At 60.2% G+C, this 17213-nt stretch overlaps 1 protein-coding gene across 10 annotated transcripts in view, besides 3 other annotated features; it reads right to left on the reverse strand.

The window, feature by feature from the left end:
• The window catches only part of SLC12A7 (solute carrier family 12 member 7), a 105516-nt gene that overhangs the window by 39596 nt on the left and 48707 nt on the right, over positions 1-17213 (reverse strand). For 8 of the 10 annotated variants that reach the window (XR_007058571.1, XR_007058570.1, XR_007058569.1 and 5 more), the window contains exons 2-3: positions 4175-4269; positions 3554-3676 (exon numbers count right to left, since the gene is read on the reverse strand). Coding sequence is in view for 7 of the 10 variants with exons in the window: in XM_011513941.3 (XP_011512243.2) it covers positions 3554-3676; positions 4175-4269 (218 nt within the window). In the remaining 3 variants the exon portion in view is untranslated. Of the gene's footprint in view, positions 1-3553; positions 3677-4174; positions 4270-13852; positions 14732-15463; positions 15651-17213 lie in introns of those variants that run through there. The other 2 variants (XM_011513939.4, XM_011513940.3) reach the window with 2 other exon arrangements.
• Positions 9565-10411: an enhancer, noted in NCBI's record as "H3K27ac-H3K4me1 hESC enhancer chr5:1099659-1100505 (GRCh37/hg19 assembly coordinates)". NCBI's record gives its function as "activates a minimal SCP1, AML or CMV promoter by ChIP-STARR-seq in naive H9 embryonic stem cells {active_cell/tissue: H9 hESC(naive)}" and the evidence as "EXISTENCE:reporter gene assay evidence [ECO:0000049][PMID:30033119]".
• Positions 10412-11258: an enhancer, noted in NCBI's record as "H3K27ac-H3K4me1 hESC enhancer chr5:1100506-1101352 (GRCh37/hg19 assembly coordinates)". NCBI's record gives its function as "activates a minimal SCP1, AML or CMV promoter by ChIP-STARR-seq in primed H9 embryonic stem cells {active_cell/tissue: H9 hESC(primed)}" and the evidence as "EXISTENCE:reporter gene assay evidence [ECO:0000049][PMID:30033119]".
• Positions 16339-17184: an enhancer, noted in NCBI's record as "NANOG-H3K4me1 hESC enhancer chr5:1106433-1107278 (GRCh37/hg19 assembly coordinates)". NCBI's record gives its function as "activates a minimal SCP1, AML or CMV promoter by ChIP-STARR-seq in naive and primed H9 embryonic stem cells {active_cell/tissue: H9 hESC(naive and primed)}" and the evidence as "EXISTENCE:reporter gene assay evidence [ECO:0000049][PMID:30033119]".

Below are 17213 nucleotides of genomic sequence, written 5' to 3' on the forward strand. Positions count from 1 at the left end.
TAACAGGAAAACGTCTCAAGGTCAATACGGAAAAGGGGGAAGGTTTTATTTGAAGACACTTCCTGTGAACAGTGGCCACAATGTGGATCAGAACAGGCCCCGTGCGGGGCTTCGATCCTGGGGTTCACACAGCCCAGGCCTGGGGAGGATGGGAACAGGGGACCAGGTGAGGGGCAGCTCCCAGGGAGAGCACGCTGAACACCACATCACAAAAGCAAACAGGGTGGCTTCTGGGGTCACCGTGCCGGAACGCCTCCCACAGACTGGCCAAGGCTGGGGCCAGGGCAGGGCTCTAGGGCTCCACCAACTTTAGGACCCTGGGAAAAATAATGTAAGAGCAGCTCGGAGCGTGGGAAGCCCTGGATCTGAGAGCCTGGGGGATTCACTTGGTTCCCTGAGCCCTAGGTGGGAAGCAACAGGGGAGCGACTTGCTTCTGACGGGGGCCCTGGAGAGGAGAGGGTGACGGGGCTGGGGGCCGCTGCTGGGCCCTCCAAATCTGGGTATGCTTTGTTCTTGGTGCAAACGAGAGAAGCGGTGGCGGATGGTGGAGAACCGGCTTTGGGACATTCTCATTGGATAAAACTGAGAGCCCAGGGCAGAGGTGACAGCAAGGCTCCAGGGACAATTGTTGCTGTGACTTCCCAGCGAGGCTTCAGCTAACGCAGGAGCCGACAGGCAGAGCTCCAGGCAGAGACGCGGTCCACACAGGGGCCCCTGCCCTCCAGGCTCAGCCTCAAATCCCGCAGCCCCGTGACAGGCGAGTCAGAAGCTGGTTCTCGGCCAAAGGCGGGGGATCCTGACTCCTCACGGAAGGGCATGGCCGGCCTTGGCCTCTTGGTTCGCGCCTAAAGGCAACTTTTAAGGCTCAACCTGACCCAATTTCAGGCGCGGGAGGCTGGAGATGCCTGGGCCCTTGAAAAGGCTCCTCAATGGGAGCAGGTCTGCTGGGGATGAGCCTCTGAGCCTGGCAAAGAGGACCAGGGGCGGCCCCTGCCCTTCCACCCCAGGGGCCGAGCCACGGTCCCCTAAGGGAGCCGAAGGAGTCACTGCCAACTGAAACCCGCCACCGTCAAACAACAGGCCTGCTGGGGTCACGGGCCCTGGTCCCTCCACGACTGAAACGCAGGCAGCATCAGCCTGGGGTACCTGCATATTGTCCCTGAGGGACAGAGGCCTGAGAGCCACCAGCCTGGGGGTAGGGTTGCCAGGGAGGGCCAGGGAGAGCCTTCCAGGTGGGAACCTCCTGGGCCCTGGCCCACAGTGTGCCATGAACAAACACACCTGCCTGGACGTTTCAGTCATGTCTCAGTACCAAGTAGGGTGAGAGAAGCTGGGGTGTGCTCTCTATGGGCACCTCATGGCAGGCTGGGCTCCATCAGGCAGAGGGGTTGGAGCTGGATGTCCAGGCCAGTGGTGCCTGAGCCCAGCCGAGCTGGAGCTAAAGCCTGTTCCCGGAGCACTCGGACCAGGCCCGTGGGAAGACACCTGCTCCCTGGAGAAAGCCAACATCTCCCTAGGACACAAACTCCAGCACACAGGCGGACAGACAGGGAAGGCCTGTGGCTCCTGAGTTTTGGTGCCAGAGTACCAGCCTGAGCCCATGAGGCCTCAAGGTAGTGCCCAGCATGCGTGAAACCCCAGAAAGGTGCTGAGTGCTGAGCCCGGCAATACCCAGTTCCACAGCGTCCACGTGCGGAAAGGTACTGAGTGCTGAGCCCGGCACACCACCACCCAATTCCGCGGCGTCCACGTGCGGCACGGCAATACCCAGTTCCGCAGCGTCCACGTGCAGAAAGGTGCTGAGTGCTGAGCCCGGCAATGCCCAGTTCCACACCATCCACGTGCAGAAAGGTGCTGAGTGCTGAGCCTGGCAACACCCAATTCCGCAGCGTCCACGTGCAGCAGTGATGGTCCCACCCCAAGGGCTGGCCGAGCTACAGACAGGGGGGGCGGCCACAAGCTCCCCGAGCCGGGAAGGACCCAGCAGGGGAACCAGAAAGAGGTCCAGAGATGCAGCTTCTGAAGAGGCCACTACCCTGTCCTGGGACAACAGCCAGGGCTGAGGGCCCTCATCAGGCCAGGCCCCACCCCAAGGTGGTCTCACGGTCACGTCCCTCGTCTCCGGTTACTTCAACCCCAGATTGAGGCTTCTCAAAAACAAAACCAAATGTCTTCAAGTATTTTGGAAATGCAGTATTAATTCCGCTGTGTTTACAGTAAAAGGAAGGAAAGAGACATCTTGAGCGGCCTGACTTCCCGACTGCTGTGTGGGACCCAGGTCAGCAGAACACTGGACGCTGGCAGGAGGCACTCAGGGGTGGCGTCGACGCAAAGCGCAGAGCCCAGGCTGGGAGGATGCAGGGGAGGGCAAGGAGCCGGCCGACGGACGCCCCACTTGGTGGAGGTCACACGCAGCAGGGGGGCCCACCCTCCCTGGACCTGGGGGCGCCTGGCTCAGCACCTCCTTCCTTCCTGCTCACTGGCCTCTACCTGGCACTACAAAACCCTCCCTTCTGAGAAGATAGGGATCTCCTGATGGTATTTTTAGAGTTAGAAAGTTAAGGAAAATAATAGGGGAATTTAAAAATCACCCTAAAAAGCCAACGTATGCCCTTAGCTGTCTGCCGAAGGAGGGGGGCACAGGCTCGGGGCTGACTCGGGAAATGACAATTTTGTGTCAAGACTGGGGGAGGCCGTCGCCCGGCTTCAGAGCAGGGCCTGCGCTGCTTGGTTTCTTCCGGTGGATTATTTTTTTTTGTTTTTTGTATCTTATTCTAGAGCAACACAGACATATTTGAAAGAAGATTTAAAAAGCAGAGGGAGTTGAGAAGAAACTGAGCCACCCGCCGCACCCCCACAGCGAGGACCTAAGATCTCCCCCAACACGGGTCCAGGGTCTTTCTCGCCTGTGAGCGTCACCTCAGGGCCTCAGGCCTCAGGGTGGCTCTCAGGCAACCCGTCTGTACAGGACGGCAGAACCCTCCCGAGGATGCTCAAGGGGTTTCCACACCTCGTCACCCACAGAAACCACTCAAGGGAAACCTTTCCCCACTGCACCCCCCTCGTTTCCTAGGACGGATTCCTGGAAACAAATCCTCAGGGAATAAAACTGCAGGGAAAATGCTACCAGGCTAAGTGTCCTGGACAGGAAATGAAAAGGAGGGCGGCCCCTGGGAGCACCGAGGCCACAGCACCCTCTGGAAGGGGCCACGTCCCGGCCTCTCGGCACCATTCAGACTCCTCTCCACAGCAGGGGATGGGGCCGCTCCCGCAGAACGAACAAAACACCCCAAGTTCATTTCTCGACAGGGAACCCGGCCACCCAGATGCATGGGGGTGTCACGCTTCCCCGGACGGTGGAGAGGGAAGAGGCCTGGACAGGAGCTGCAGGGCAGGCACCATCGAGCCCTCCCAGGAAGAAAGGGCTGGACGTGGCCATGATACCAGAGCTCAGGGCAGCTCTTCTGACAAGCAACTGCCTTGCCGGCGTGATCTAACCCTGCCGGGACACACGGGGCGGGGACTGGGCGGGCACGGGCAGGGTGGCAGTACCTTGGCCTCCCGCCGCCGGCTCTCCTCGTCCTCCTCGTGCTCCACCACGCCCTGGCTCAGGTTGGTGTAGTTGGCCAGCTTGTTGAGCAGCGAGGACACCATGGGGTTACTGTCCATCTCCTCCTGCGCGGCGTGGACATGGTCACAGGCGGCCCGCACCTCGCCGTGGGCCCCCCGACCTCCCTCCCCGTGTTCAGGGTGTGGAGCTCAGGCCCTCCCCGGGTCCTCAGCCCCTGGGTCTGAAGCAAGCCAGAGAGGCCTGGACACCTGTGTGGCAGGTCTGAGTCCGAGGCCAGGGCTCCAGGCCTCACTGAGTGGGGCCACCCACCCATGGCAGGGACCCCAGGGTGTCCAGCACTCAGCAGCTCAGAGGGGTTCCCGTGGGGCCGGAGCACCCTAGATCCAGGAAGGAGCCCAGAAGGCACCAGCCGAGGAGCACGTCCCAGCTCAAGTGCGGGACTGGGCCCCCGCCACAGCCTTCAGGACAGGGAGGCCCCAGTTCCTTCCACGTGGTGTCCAGTCCTGTGGGAGGCCCCGGCCTGGGGGCCCCCAGGGGCTCCTTTACTTTTCCACATCAAAGCAACGGCCCTGGCACCTTCTTCTTCTAAAAAGTAAAGTTACCTCGAAAAGTGCCATGTTCTTCCCTTCAAAGAAGCTCTCTTGTTCCACCTCGACATTGTTGAGGAATGGGCTGTTTTCTCTTGGATTTCCATCTCCTAGTGAGGGAAAAACAATTCAGAGTCAGCTTAGAAGGAACTAAAAGCAAGCACAGAAGGCCAACTACAGATCTTGCACGGAGGGCTCTGGTCCCCACCAGCTGTCACCTCTAAACCATGGCTAAGGGTGATACTTCTCACACACTCTCCTTCCTTCCACACATCTGTGTTCCAAAGAAAGGGGCATTTCCCAGGGTGCACGCTAGTCCCAGGACACATGCTAGCCCCAATGCGCAAGCTATCCCCAGAACACAAGCTATCCCTAGGACACAAGCTATCCCCAGAACACACGCTAGCTCCAGGGCATACGCTATCCCCCACACACATCATCATTGAAGACAAAGCCCCTGAAAGCCTCGGCAAGTGAGCTGTTCAGCCCAGGGCAAGGGTACCTCCCTCTGGCGTTGAAAATCTCTCATTCAGCCAAATGTGGGCAAAATTCTCACTCTTAAAAGTCGGGGTGGCACCTCCTAGCCTTGCTGCTTAATCCGCCATTTCGGAGGGACACAGAGGACTTCCCACTGTTCCCTGTTGAGGACGCCGCCCACAGGCTCTCTAGGTAAATGAGCCCCTCCTGAGTCTTTCAGGAAGGCTGGGCCGGCGACCCCTCCATGGGGCTGAGCCCAGGCTTCGAACCAGGGGGTAATCCTAGCAGCTGCCCGAGAGCATGAGCAAGGGAATTGGTGGGGAGGAGGACTTGAGGCTCCCTGGCAGGTTGAGGCCCGATGGCCCATGTGACGGTGTTAGAAGATAGGGTCGGTAGGAGGTGGGGGCGGTAGGAGGCGGGGGGCCGGTAGGAGGCGGGGCCGGTAGGAGGTGGGGCCCGTAGGAGGTGGTGAGGTGTGGAAGGGGATGAAAGTCCCTACCCCCAGGCCTCAGCAGCAGAGCTGTCGCCCTCCCACCCTCCATGGGAGGACACGGCAGGGAACCTAGGGCCCTCGCCAGACCCCAAACCTGCCCAGGCCTTGGTCTAAGACTTTCAGCCTCAAGAACTCTGAGAAGTTTCTGTGTTCATGAATCACCTGACCTGGGGGACTGTCACAGCAACACAAGGAACTCGGCACAGGCCACTGCAGAGACCACAGCCTGCCCGGGACCCCTGAGCAGCCCATGGTCAGAACAGGGTCTGCAAATGCACATGCCCCAGCCAGGCACGGTGAGGAGCTGAAGGGCATCAAACCATAGCCACCCACGCACCCCAGGGCCCTCAGGGCCCTCTGCCCCATGTGCTGCACACCAGCTCCCCAGACTGGGAACGACCAAGCCGGGACCCTTCCTAGGGGTGCTCGGCCCATCCTTGCCCAGTCCACCCTAGCCCTGCACAGAATGGTGTGGGACCCTGAGGGTGCAGAAGAAACGGTCAAGGCAGGATGCGAGGTGGCCGGAGGAGGGCAGGCCAAGACCTCATCACTGCACCAAACAACCCCAGCTGGGAGGGTGGGCATTCTCTATGGGACATTTCAGATGTGCCAGAGCCCACTGGCGGCCACCCTGGCTGGCTGACAGGCACCAGCCGCAGGAGTGGTGGGTTCCAGCCGTGCCAGCAAAGAGGGCATCGCCGTCTGGGGGCAGGCGGGCAGCACGTGCTCCCAGTAGGGTGCCTGGGGCGGAAAGCACAGCCTTCAGGGTGTGCAGGTCCTTGGTGCGACCATGAGTGACTGCAGATGCCTAGACCATGGGGCACACCACAGAGAGGCCAGTGCCACGGAGCAGCGGCCCCACCCCTCAAAAACGTCAGGGAGACAACTCAGAGGAAGCTCCAGGTGACAGAGACGGTCAAATGCACGCACAACCTCAGACTTCTTTTTCTAGAGACCGTGATTGGGCCAGTTGGTGAGATCTGAAAAAGATCTCTCGTGTGTGATCATTAACTCCCTGATTCTGGTGACTGCACTGCAGAGATTCTGAAAGAAACGTGCTTGCTTTTAGGAAATACGCCTGTGAGAGGCACCACGTCAGCTGCTTACTCCCAACAGTTCAGAAACAAACGTGGGAGTGAAAGACGGAGACCTGGGGCAGGGCAGGAGGCAGGAGGGACACAGCCAACATGGCAGGAGGTTGGCATTTGGGCAACGGAGGCCAAGGGCAGATGGGCGTTCTCCACACTGGTCTTGCAACCTTTCTGAAATCTAAAATTACATGGAAATCAGGTTAAAAGAAAAATTACACATACTTTCAACTAAGAAAATATGTCTAAATGTCTTTCCCATCAATTATAGGTGTCTTTCCAAGATGAGTCCCATCCAGGGCCCTTCCCCACTCCTCTTCAATGGTTTCAGTGGATTCCTGCTCAGGCCCTTTTTCTGGACACAACGGCCAACTGTTTACAGAGAGATCAGTGGTGACTGGCGACACTTTCTGGAGTCAATGGAAGATGAAGGACCAGGAGCCTGGTGCAGCTATTCTTAGAGGGAGGGAGGGAAGGAAGAAAGGAGGGAGGGGGGAAGGGAGGGAAGGAAGGAGGGAGGAAGGAAAGGAGGGAGGGGGGAAGGGAGGGAAGGAAGGAGGGAGGAAGGAAAGGAGGGAGGGGGGGAGGGAGGGAAGGAAGGAGGGAGGGAAGGAAGGAGGGAAGGGAGGGAAGGAAGGAGGGAGGGAGGGAAGGAGGGAGGGAGGGATGAAGGGAGGGAGGGAGGGAAGGAAGAAAGGAGGGAGGGAGGAAGGGAGGGAAGGAAGGAGGGAGGGAGGGAGAGACCCGAGGGTTTCGGGTTCTCCCTCCCACGCAGCCAACCCCACAGACAACCTTGGACAAAGTCACAGCTGCTTGGGCTCAAGTTTCTCTTCCCCGCAGGAAGGGTGCGTGGCTCCGGAGGCTCAGCCCTGCCTGCCCTTCTCCACCAGGAGTGCAGCTTGGGGCTCCGCTGCCCGGCCTACATCCCTTCTGGAAAGCACAGGTTTACTGGTGGTTGAGGTCTTAGCATGTAACTATGTCTGCGTTCAGCAAGCAACCACTGTTTATCTGAACTCCTACGAACTGTACAAGTAGGAAAAACGTGTACACAGCAAGCACATTCGCTCAAACCAAGGGGACCAACATCCTTCCCGTCGCCTCCAACACTCCCAGCAGAAGCAACCCCTGCTCACCGCAGCGTCTCCTCTGCGCAGCCCACTTGGGAAGATGGCAACGCCTATCAGGCCCCAAGAACACCCCGAAAAACACACACACAAGCTCCCCACAGGCAACCTATGCAGTTGGAAAAAAGCACTAGAAACAACTTGCTCAAGTTGGATTAATATCGAGAAATTCATTAAACTTAGAAAACATAACGATGTAACCACCACAGGGTCACACCCGAGATCCCTGCGTCTGACTGTGCAGGGCTGTGCGCCAGCGGCCTCACGACAAAGCCCTGCGTGTGGGGCCAGCGAGGCACGACTCTGTCCTTCTGCTGCTTATTAAAGTAACACAGACGATGAGTCCAGAACGCGAGGACGCACAGAAAAGGGGGACGGAATACAGAAAAGCAGGGTGTGGCTGGTCCTCCCAGGTGGGGACTGCACTGAACATGTGAGCGTGTGTTCAGCCACCAGCATGTTGTCACCAAAAGCAGCCTCAGAGCATGATTACAACCTTCAAGCCTTTAAAGAGAACGCATCTCCCCTCACTTTCTTGAGAAGAGTGTCGCTTGGTCTCTACGGAGGCCACAGCAAGCGTGCTCTCAGCAGGATGGAAGTGCCCACTTGGGAGTGCCCACAAACGTTTCTATCTGGTTAAAACAGCCAGGTCAGACCTGAACCAAGAGTGCGTCCCGGGGACGTCATGGGCTCAATGCCATCCCAGTCAAGAGACCCTTCGTTAAAAATCCAATGCCCTCTCTAACCTTCTGCACACCCAGCCGCCCCCTCCAACCCTCTGCACACCCAGCCCCCCTCTAACCCTCTGCAAGCCCAGCCCCCACAACCCTCTGCAAGCCCAGCCCCCCTCTAACCCTCTGCACGCCCAGCCCCCCTCTAACCCTCTGCACACCCAGCCCCCCTCTAACCCTCTGCACACCCAGCCCCCCTCTAACCCTCTGCACGCCCAGGCCCCCACAACCCTCTGCAAGCCCAGCCCCCCTCTAACCCTCTGCTCACCCAGCCCCCCTCTAACCCTCTGCACACCCAGCCCCCTTCTAACCCTCTGCTCACCCAGCCCCCTTCTAACCCTCTGCTCACCCAGCCCCCTTCTAACCCTCTGCATGCCCAGGCCCCCCTCTAACCCTCTGCACACCCAGCCCCCTTCTAACCCTCTGCTCACCCAGCCCCCTTCTAACCCTCTGCACACCCAGGCCCCCCTCTAACCCTCTGCACACCCAGCCCCCCTCTAACCCTCTGCTCACCAAGCCCCCTTCTAACCCTCTGCACACCCAGCCCCCCTCTAACCCTCTGCTCACCCAGCCCCCTTCTAACCCTCTGCTCACCCAGCCCCCTTCTAACCCTCTGCACACCCAGGCCCCCCTCTAACCCTCTGCACACCCAGCCCCCCTCTAACCCTCTGCTCACCCAGCCCCCCTCTAACCCTCTGCACACCCAGCCCCCCTCTAACCCTCTGCTCACCCAGCCACCCTCTAACCCTCTGCTCACCCAGCCGCGTCCCTTGCGCTCCCTGGCCTGGACTTGGACATCGGCAGTCCTGGCTGCTGTGAAGGGCAGTGAGTTTTCCTCTGGCCGAGCCCTGCCTGTGTTTTGGGGATAGAGCCACTCGCCTGGGATAGCACCTCCTCCCTTGTCATTCTGCACATTCATGATGACCGGAAGGCTGAGAGGACAAACGGACACAGGGGAAAGCCTGGGCGTGCGGTGCAGGAAGGTGAGATGGGCAGGGTCCTTGCCAGGTGGCCCACAGTGTCTAACCCTCAGGGCAGGTCCCGGTGGTGCCCCTGCCCAGGCGCCATGCACCAGTGGCCTCTGCCAAGCAGGGTGAAGCGGGGGCGAGGGATGGCCCAACAACCCAGATCAGGTCTCCCCAGCCAAACCCCACCCCATGGGCCAAAGAGCAGCACCCAGATACCACGTGCCCTGAGGCAGGAGCAGGGTACAGACATCAACCTAACCCGGACCCGGTCCACCTCCTCCGGTGGACGGCAGAACCCAACCCGGTCCACCTCCTCTGGGGCACAGACATCAACCCAGCCCCGACCCAGTCCACCTCCTCCGGGGGACAGCAGGGCCCGACCCGGTCCACCTCCTCTGGGGCACGGACATCAACCCAGCCCCGACCCAGTCCACCTCCTCCGGGGGACGGCAGGGCCCGACCCAGTCCACCTCCTCCGGGGGACGGCAGGCATCCTCAGCGGGTCAGAGGATTGATCCCAGTTCCGGCCAGGACACAGAATGAGCCATGGTACCGACCTCCACAAAACTCGCCTCCCCTCCCTCCTCCCGAAGACGAACCCGTTTCTGACTTATCTCCACATTTAAGGGCTGAAATGCTGAACTCACCTCACAGAAGCCCTGTAAAGGCCGGCTCCTTTCACATTGTACATCACAGCCGTGGCCTGCCCACCACAGCTTAGAAAGGCTGACTCGGGAATCTCAGTTTGCGCCAAGCTCATGGTCTCCCCAAAACCAAGTGCAGCAAAACTCGGGACACCTTAAAACCAGCGATAGGAACGGCCCCTTCACAACCACCACGGTCCCCTCCGGCGGGTGTACGGGGCAGGAGTGCGCAGGGGAATTCCGGGGTCCCCCAGGCCTGGCCCGCCCCACTTCGCAACCTGAGGGCGCATGACCGTTACTGTTATCACTGAAAAAAGCGACTCATAAGGCTTTAAAAGGAGGCTACTTCAGCCAGTAGCATCCAGGGCGAGAAGAAGAAGGCATGGCATTTCAACCCTCTCCTCCTACCCGGCCGGGCTGGGCTCCCACACGCCTCGGAAGAGAAGAGCGAGGCAGCCGCTCAGGAATTTCCCCTTAAAGGAGACTCAGGCGGGTGTCTGCAAATAGCTCACGAAGCCCGTGAATCATCCACGAATGTCCCTCACCCTCGGGCGGCACCGGGACGGCAGGGGCTGGTACCCTCCGCGCCGCCTGATGAGGCTTGTACGGTGCTCCATTCTGCAGACACGCCGTCGGAATTAAAAATCCACAGGACCCGGCCAGAGTCACTGGGAAAGAAGCCCATGTAAAGGCCGCCTGGCCCCTGGGCCACCCGCAGCCGCCTGTCATCTATCTTTCCACAGCCTTTCAAAGGCTCGATGGTCTCGCAGCAGCCCCCAGGTGCCCTGGGTTACTCCACAGCACAGCAGGCCCCAAAGGCAAGCCCATCTGCGGATCCGACAGTGGGAACCAAAACCAAACGAGGCTCCAGAAGCCTGGCTGGGGCGGGAAAGGAAGGTGAGCTGCGCTCGTGGGTAACAGAGGAGGAAGACGGCGCCCTCGGGGAGACCGCGCCAAGTGCTGTTGACGCGTGTGCCCAGACGCCGCATGCAGGGAGGGCGCCTGTCCTCTGGGGTCTTCCTCCCCGAAACACTCAGCTGCAGGCTAACCACGAGAGAAAACACCAGACACCTCCCAACTGAGGGGCATTCTCTAAAAAGGACCAGGACTCCCCAAAACTGCCACAGTCGTCAAAAAAAGAAAGTCCGAGAAACCGTCACAGCCAAGAGGAGCCCGAGGCAGCGTGGGAACTTGGTGTCTGTCACGTTGGATCCCGGATGTGTCCTGGGACAGAAAAGCACACCCGGGAAGAGGCAGTGAAACATGAGCCTGCAGGGATGTGGCTCTGCATGGTGACCACCCACCAGGAGCCCTCGACGAGCTGAGCCCCGCACCCATGGCCAGCTCCCCCACAGCTGTGTGCGCTGCCCTCCTGCTCCGTCCATCCCAACATCTTCCCAGCTCTGGGAACAGCCCCGGCCTCGGCCCGCCTCGTACCTGGGAACAGCCTGTTTCAGCGCCCTCTCCCCAGAGGCCCCTCCTCGCTCACCTGCCCCGAGCGGCCCTAAGCAGCTGGCACTGGGTGGACTGCCCTGCCCACCTGCACTGGGACAGGGCCTTGGTCACTGTCACCGGTGCCCGTCCCTCCAGGTTTAAAGCAGTTCCAGCAGCAGCTCTGCTCACAGCTTGTCTGGTGCCTTCATGAACCCCATGCACCAGGCTGACCTATCCCCAGGGGCCAGGGTCTCAACAGAACCTGCCCCAAGCAGACGTGCCCGGGACTGACAGCGTCTGGCCAGCAGGCCCGACCTGGGTCCAGGCCCCAGAACCACAGCCTCTGGTGGGTCCCTGAGACCTTGGAGGAGCCCTCCCAATAGCCAGCAAAGGCCGACAGCCGCTGGTGGAGAACCAGCAACACCAGGCTGACCAATGCTGCCCTCCTCCTCAGCCATGAAGGCGGCGAGGTCAAGCCCTGGCCTGAAGAACTGGCCACAAGTCAGTTTTTTCTCGTCTTATTTTTTCTACCTCTTCATTTTATTATAAAAACGACCCCAGGTAAGCAAGTGGGCAGACACCCTGTGCAGCCCTATGGGTGCTAGCTGTCCACGCACAGATCCGCCCCACACAGCCCTGGTCTGATGCATGTCATGGCACACAGTGGCCACCACTGCCCCGACCCCCCTCCACCCCCCGACACTAAGCAGCCTTGTGGCCCTCCGGAGCCGCTTTGCTGAGTTTTCTCTGGCTGCAGCCGCCTGGGCAAGAGAACGTCTATCTGCTGAGCATTAACAAAGGCCTGCCCCTGCTCACCGGACCTACCAAGAGCCTCCCACCACTTCCCCAGCTCCCTCCCTGCCAAGCCCCCCAGCCACAGAGGCAACCTCCGGTCTGTTTTTCACTCTAGGTTAGTTTTCCAGACACCTTATCAACAAAGTGAATGCAGACCCTGTGGTCAGTAAGCAGATCCTGATGGGCTGGGCCCTTGGGGAACAGCCTCCTGGGCTTGTCCAACCAGGCTGTGTCCCCACCCCGAGAGGGAAGGAGGCGGCTGCAGGTGGAAGGGCAAAGACCAGACACACGAGTGTCCCGGCCAGAGGAGGGGCAGCCCCTCCAGCCAGAGAGGCAGTGAGAGTGTGTGTGTCAGATCCCTGACCCATCCCGATCCAGGCCTGGGAAGTGCGTTCATGGGTAGTTTCTGCAGGGAGAAGCTGGCTCACCTCCCTAATCGGCCCTAATCCCCTCTGAGATCACAATGCCTCCATCAGCCTCCCTATCTCCAGGCACAACCTCCTCCCTTTCTCAGTGGCTCATCCCTCCCCCTCTTCCTCCCGCGTTTTGGGATTTTACAGCCATTCTCCGCAAAGGGCTCTAGGAACGTCCTCTTAGACTCAGCCTCAGCCGGAAGCAGCTGACAGGCAGGAGGGGCTGTGAAGCTGAAGCCAGGTCCGACAGCCTCCGCCCCTTCCTGCCCTCCAGCGTGGGTGGTCCGTCCAGCTACCCAGCCCTGCAGAGCAGTGGCGGGTGGCACCGGACCTGTGCACACAGAGAGGCGCCGGGCCTGGGGCAGGGGACAAGCAAGTCCAGGCTTCCCGGCTCCCTGCACTCGAGGAGGTTCTCAGGCCTGGCTCTGTGTGTCCCCTGGGTCCAGCAGGCCACCCTCCCCTGGAGCCACAGGGGACTCACAGCAGAATGAGTCCCACCTGGTGACCCAGTGGCATCAGCTCACGTGGCCTCTGGGGACAGCCCGAGACTGAATGGACCCAGGAGCACCCCCCACCCAACCCCACTGCCTGGAGGCTGAGTTCCCTGTGAAGGCGCGAGGACCCAGGAACACTCCCAACCCCACTGCCTGGAGGCTGGGCTCCCTGTGAAGGTGCCGGGCACTGAAATAAAGTGTGTTTAGGTTCCAGGATCCGAACGCCAGCTGACGACCCCTGGCCCTTGCCCTCCCTCTGCCCCTCACAGTTTGTGCTGTGTGGGCCCCTAAAATCTAGAAACTGAGGCTCTCAAGGGGCACAGGATGAGAACGGCCCAGTGTTCAGGCTGGGACACGGGGGGCTTCAGGCAAGCTCTCAGGCTTCCAGCACAAGTTTCTGGCTAAAGCAGCGCTGCCTTCTGAGGGAAAAACAGGCCCTTCATCACCCATTCCCGAAGTGACCTCATCCCAACAGTCTGTGCAGACACCACCGCCAGTATCCTGTAAACCAGGAGAGCGCCGGGAGATCCCAGCTCACCGTCAGAGGCACTGGAAGCAAGGAAGCCTGGCTGGAAGGTCCTGGCAAGCTATGGCCAGACACACATGAACACACGCCACAGAAAATATACACTCACATGCACAGAGACATGCATGTGTACACATGCACAGACAGGCACTTCCACGTGCACACGCAAACTTGCTCACACGGAAGACACTCTCCATACCCATACTCACACGCTTCCCCCCTCATTCATACACACAACACTCACCTCGCAAACCTGCACACGCACCTGTCCTCACATGTGCATACCCATACCCGCAGTCACATACACACACCAACACCCGCACATACACGTGTACACACACACATACCTGCAGCACACACATCTGCACAAAGTCCCAGGGGCTACAGCCCCCAGACTGCACGACCCACGGGGCGGGGTGCCCAGGACACAGGCATGCACTGGGACTACAGCCCTTCCATCTAAAGGACACGCCTGCTCGCGGGAAGGTGGCCTCGGGTGAACTCACTTCCCGAACCCTCTGTCACGTGGCTGTTTGCTGGTCCTGGTCCAGCCTCCTCCCTCAGCAGCCAGAGTGACGTCTGAGCCATGGAGGGGCCGTGGGGTCCCCTAGTTCCAGAGACTCGGGGCCCAGGCAGCCTGCAGGAGCAGAGATGAAGGAAGGCGGGAGAGGCAGGGCCCCCAGCGCACCTGCCAGGCCCTCCCAGGGCGGCTCCTGTTACAGGCTGCCTCTGGGCTGCGGTCGGGGACCCTTGGCGGCATGGAGGGGACCCAGGAGGGGCCTGGCCTGGCGCACTTCCCTCCTCCGATTTCCACTCCACTCAATCCCTCCCCAGTGACTGCCCAGGGCGTCTCTGAGCCTCCCTGAAAGCCCAGGCCCGACCCGCTGGCGCCAGAGGTCTGCAGACAGAGCCAAGGAGATGAGAGGTCACAGCCACCGCCACCCTCGTGACAGGCTGGCTCCTGCCAAGGGAAACTGAGGCACAGAGCAAATGTTCAAGGATCACTTTAACAACCTCCTCCCGGCTGCACGTCTGCAAGGTGGACATCCCCTGTGCACGGGACTTAAATGGACAGGAACGCTGGGAGGGCCAGCGGGGCTACCCCACCATGAGGACAGCTCCAGGCCATGGCAGACACACAAACCAGGCATGCCAACCAAGCACACGGGCATGCTGCGTGCGGCTATCCATGGCCAGCCTTGGGCTCAGGTCCCAGCCCCCAAACTTCCCAGAGCCACTGTAACCACTACAGTGGATGGCAATCTGACTCCAGGGGTCAACACAGGCCTGGGCGGGGCCCACTCTCATCCCGGACCCCAGGACCACTCCCCACAGAGCCGAGGCCCACCGGGGGGTGCGTGTGGGGTGCGTGTGGGGTGCTGCCCAAGAAAACCCCAGAACGCAGGAAACAAACCACCCCAGGTCCACACGTGATTCAGAAGCAGCACTCTCCTCCCCACAACTGTTTCCTCAAAAAGACACCGCCCAAGGGGAGAGCGGAAACAGGCACGGGCTGGCAGGATGGGGGCCCACGTCACAGCCCAGGGCCGCAAGCACCACTCGGACCCCGAGACCCCTGCAACGGCAGCACACGCCCCTCCCCGCAGGGGTGAGGTCCTGCAGTCACCCACCAGCCAAAAGGGACCCTCCCCGCAGGGGTGAGGTCCTGCAGTCACCCACCAGTCAAAAGGACCCTCCCCGAAGGAATGAGGTCCTGCAGTCACCCACCAGCCAAAGAGGAGCCTCCCCGCAGGGATGAGGTCCTGCAGTCACCCACCAGCCAAAGGGGACCCTCCCCGCAGGGATGAGGTCCTGCAGTCACCCACCAGTCAAAAGGACCCTCCCCGCAGGGATGAGGTCCTGCAGTCACCCACCAGCCAAAGGGGACCCTCCCCGCAGGGATGAGGTCCTGCAGTCACCCACCAGCCAAAGGGAACCCTCCCCGCAGGGGTTAGGTCCTGCAGTCACCCACCAGTCAAAAGGACCCTCCCCGCAGGGATGAGGTCCTGCAGTCACCCACCAGCCAAAGGGGACCCTCCCTGCAGGGATGAGGTCCTGCAGTCGCCCACCAGCCAAAAGGACCCTCCCCACAGGGATGAGGTCCTGCAGTCACCCACCAGCCAAAGGGGACCCTGCCGTGGGCCTGCCCCCCGGCACTCCCGGCCAGAGGCTCCAGGACCCTTGGGGAGTCAGCGGCCACAAACAGGGGAAGAGGCAGGGCCTGGACAGCATGGCCAGCCAGGCAGCTCATCGTTCAGGAGCTCATCGTTCAGGCTGCTGCGCTGAAGCCAGAGGTTTATCTGCACAGAACAGGCCTCTGCCCCCAAAAGGGAGTTTCCCCTTTCTTCATAAAGGAAAGGTATTAACCCTTTGTGCTCTGCCCTTGTCCCTGGGCAGCACTTCCCCAGCATCTGAGAAGGAAGGCCAAAGGAGACCAGCCCCCCATGTCAGTTACCAGGAGGGCCCCCAGCCAGCTGCTCACCAGGCCCCAGACACCCCCAGCCCAGCCCACTGCCCTGAAGACCAGCTGGTCCACTCCTGAATGCCGTCCACGCCCAGCCCCACTGGGCTCCACGGGGTTCCCATGCCCCACAGTGGGAGGGGGAGGTCTACCCCTCAAGGCCCTGGCGGGCCTCACACTCCCCAGCACCCAGGGACTCCTGCCCCACCCACCACACGGCCGTCACAAAATGACTCTGGGATCCACCCTCAGAAACACTCAGCTGATGGAGCCGGTTGAAATCAAAAGCACCCAGCCAGGAACTGTGGTTAATACTTAACGTCAAACATCAAACTTTGCCCTCCAGACCTCGGTCTAAGGCACAGCTTAGAAAATTCATATTCTGGCCAGATATGGTGGCTCACTCCTGTAATCCCAGCACTCCGGGAGGCCGAAGTGGGCAGACCACTAGAGGCCAGGAGTTCAAAACCAGCTTGGCCAACATGGCAAAACCCCATCTGCACTATAAATATAAAACTTAGCCAGGCGCGGTGGTGCGTGCCTGTGGTCCCCGCTACTCGGGAGGCTGAGGCACGAGAATCGCTTGAACCTGGGAGGCAGAGGTTGCAGTGAGCTGAGTCTGTGCCACTGCACTCCAGCCTGGGTGACAGAGTGAACTCTGTCTCAAAAAAAAAAAAAAAAAAAAAAAGAAAATTCATATTCCAACAGGGATGGTAACAGGAGAGCCCTCCGGGCAGCCAGCTGGCCTCACAGACGCCATCCATCCCTGGGGTGTCGGCTCCACTCGTGCCCTTCACAGCTGGGGGGTCACCCTGGGCTGACCTCCACTCCCAGTGCTGTGCCCAGCGGTGCCACGTCGGGATGTGTCTGCAGTGCCCAAGGACAGCAGCCCTGGGAAGGCTCCCTGGTCCAAGGTATGAAAGGAAAACAGGATCTCGGGACCCAAACACACTAAGCCACAGGCAAGAGTCAGGCTGGGAACCGGGTCACGCAAGCTGCCTTCCATTTTCTTCCTGTGTAGAAAGCTGCAGGCCTCCCTCATATTTTAGGACCCACAGGATCCTTACACTAAAGCAGTTGTGATGAAACTCACACTGACGGTGGAAATGACAGCTCATCCTCACGGGTGTGGGACCAAGGACAGAACCAGGAGTTGCTGCTCTGCTCGCCGGAGGCAAACGCACACCTCACTGCTTCGCCCACCCTGTACTGACTGTGTCGAAGGTAAATGTGCAGAGTCACTAAGCGTGAGCCGTGAGGGGTTCTTCCTTTACCCCCATGTGTAACACACGGGTTCAGTGAACGCTGATCAAACGCTGCCTGCCTCTTATCTGCCCTCCCTCTTCTTTCTCTTTCTTTCTTCCCCTAATACTCACGCTTTACTCTCTGAATATTCAAGTTCTCAG

Source organism: Homo sapiens, chromosome 5 (assembly GCF_000001405.40).
Source record: "Homo sapiens chromosome 5, GRCh38.p14 Primary Assembly".
In the NCBI taxonomy this organism is placed as follows: domain Eukaryota; kingdom Metazoa; phylum Chordata; class Mammalia; order Primates; family Hominidae; genus Homo; species Homo sapiens.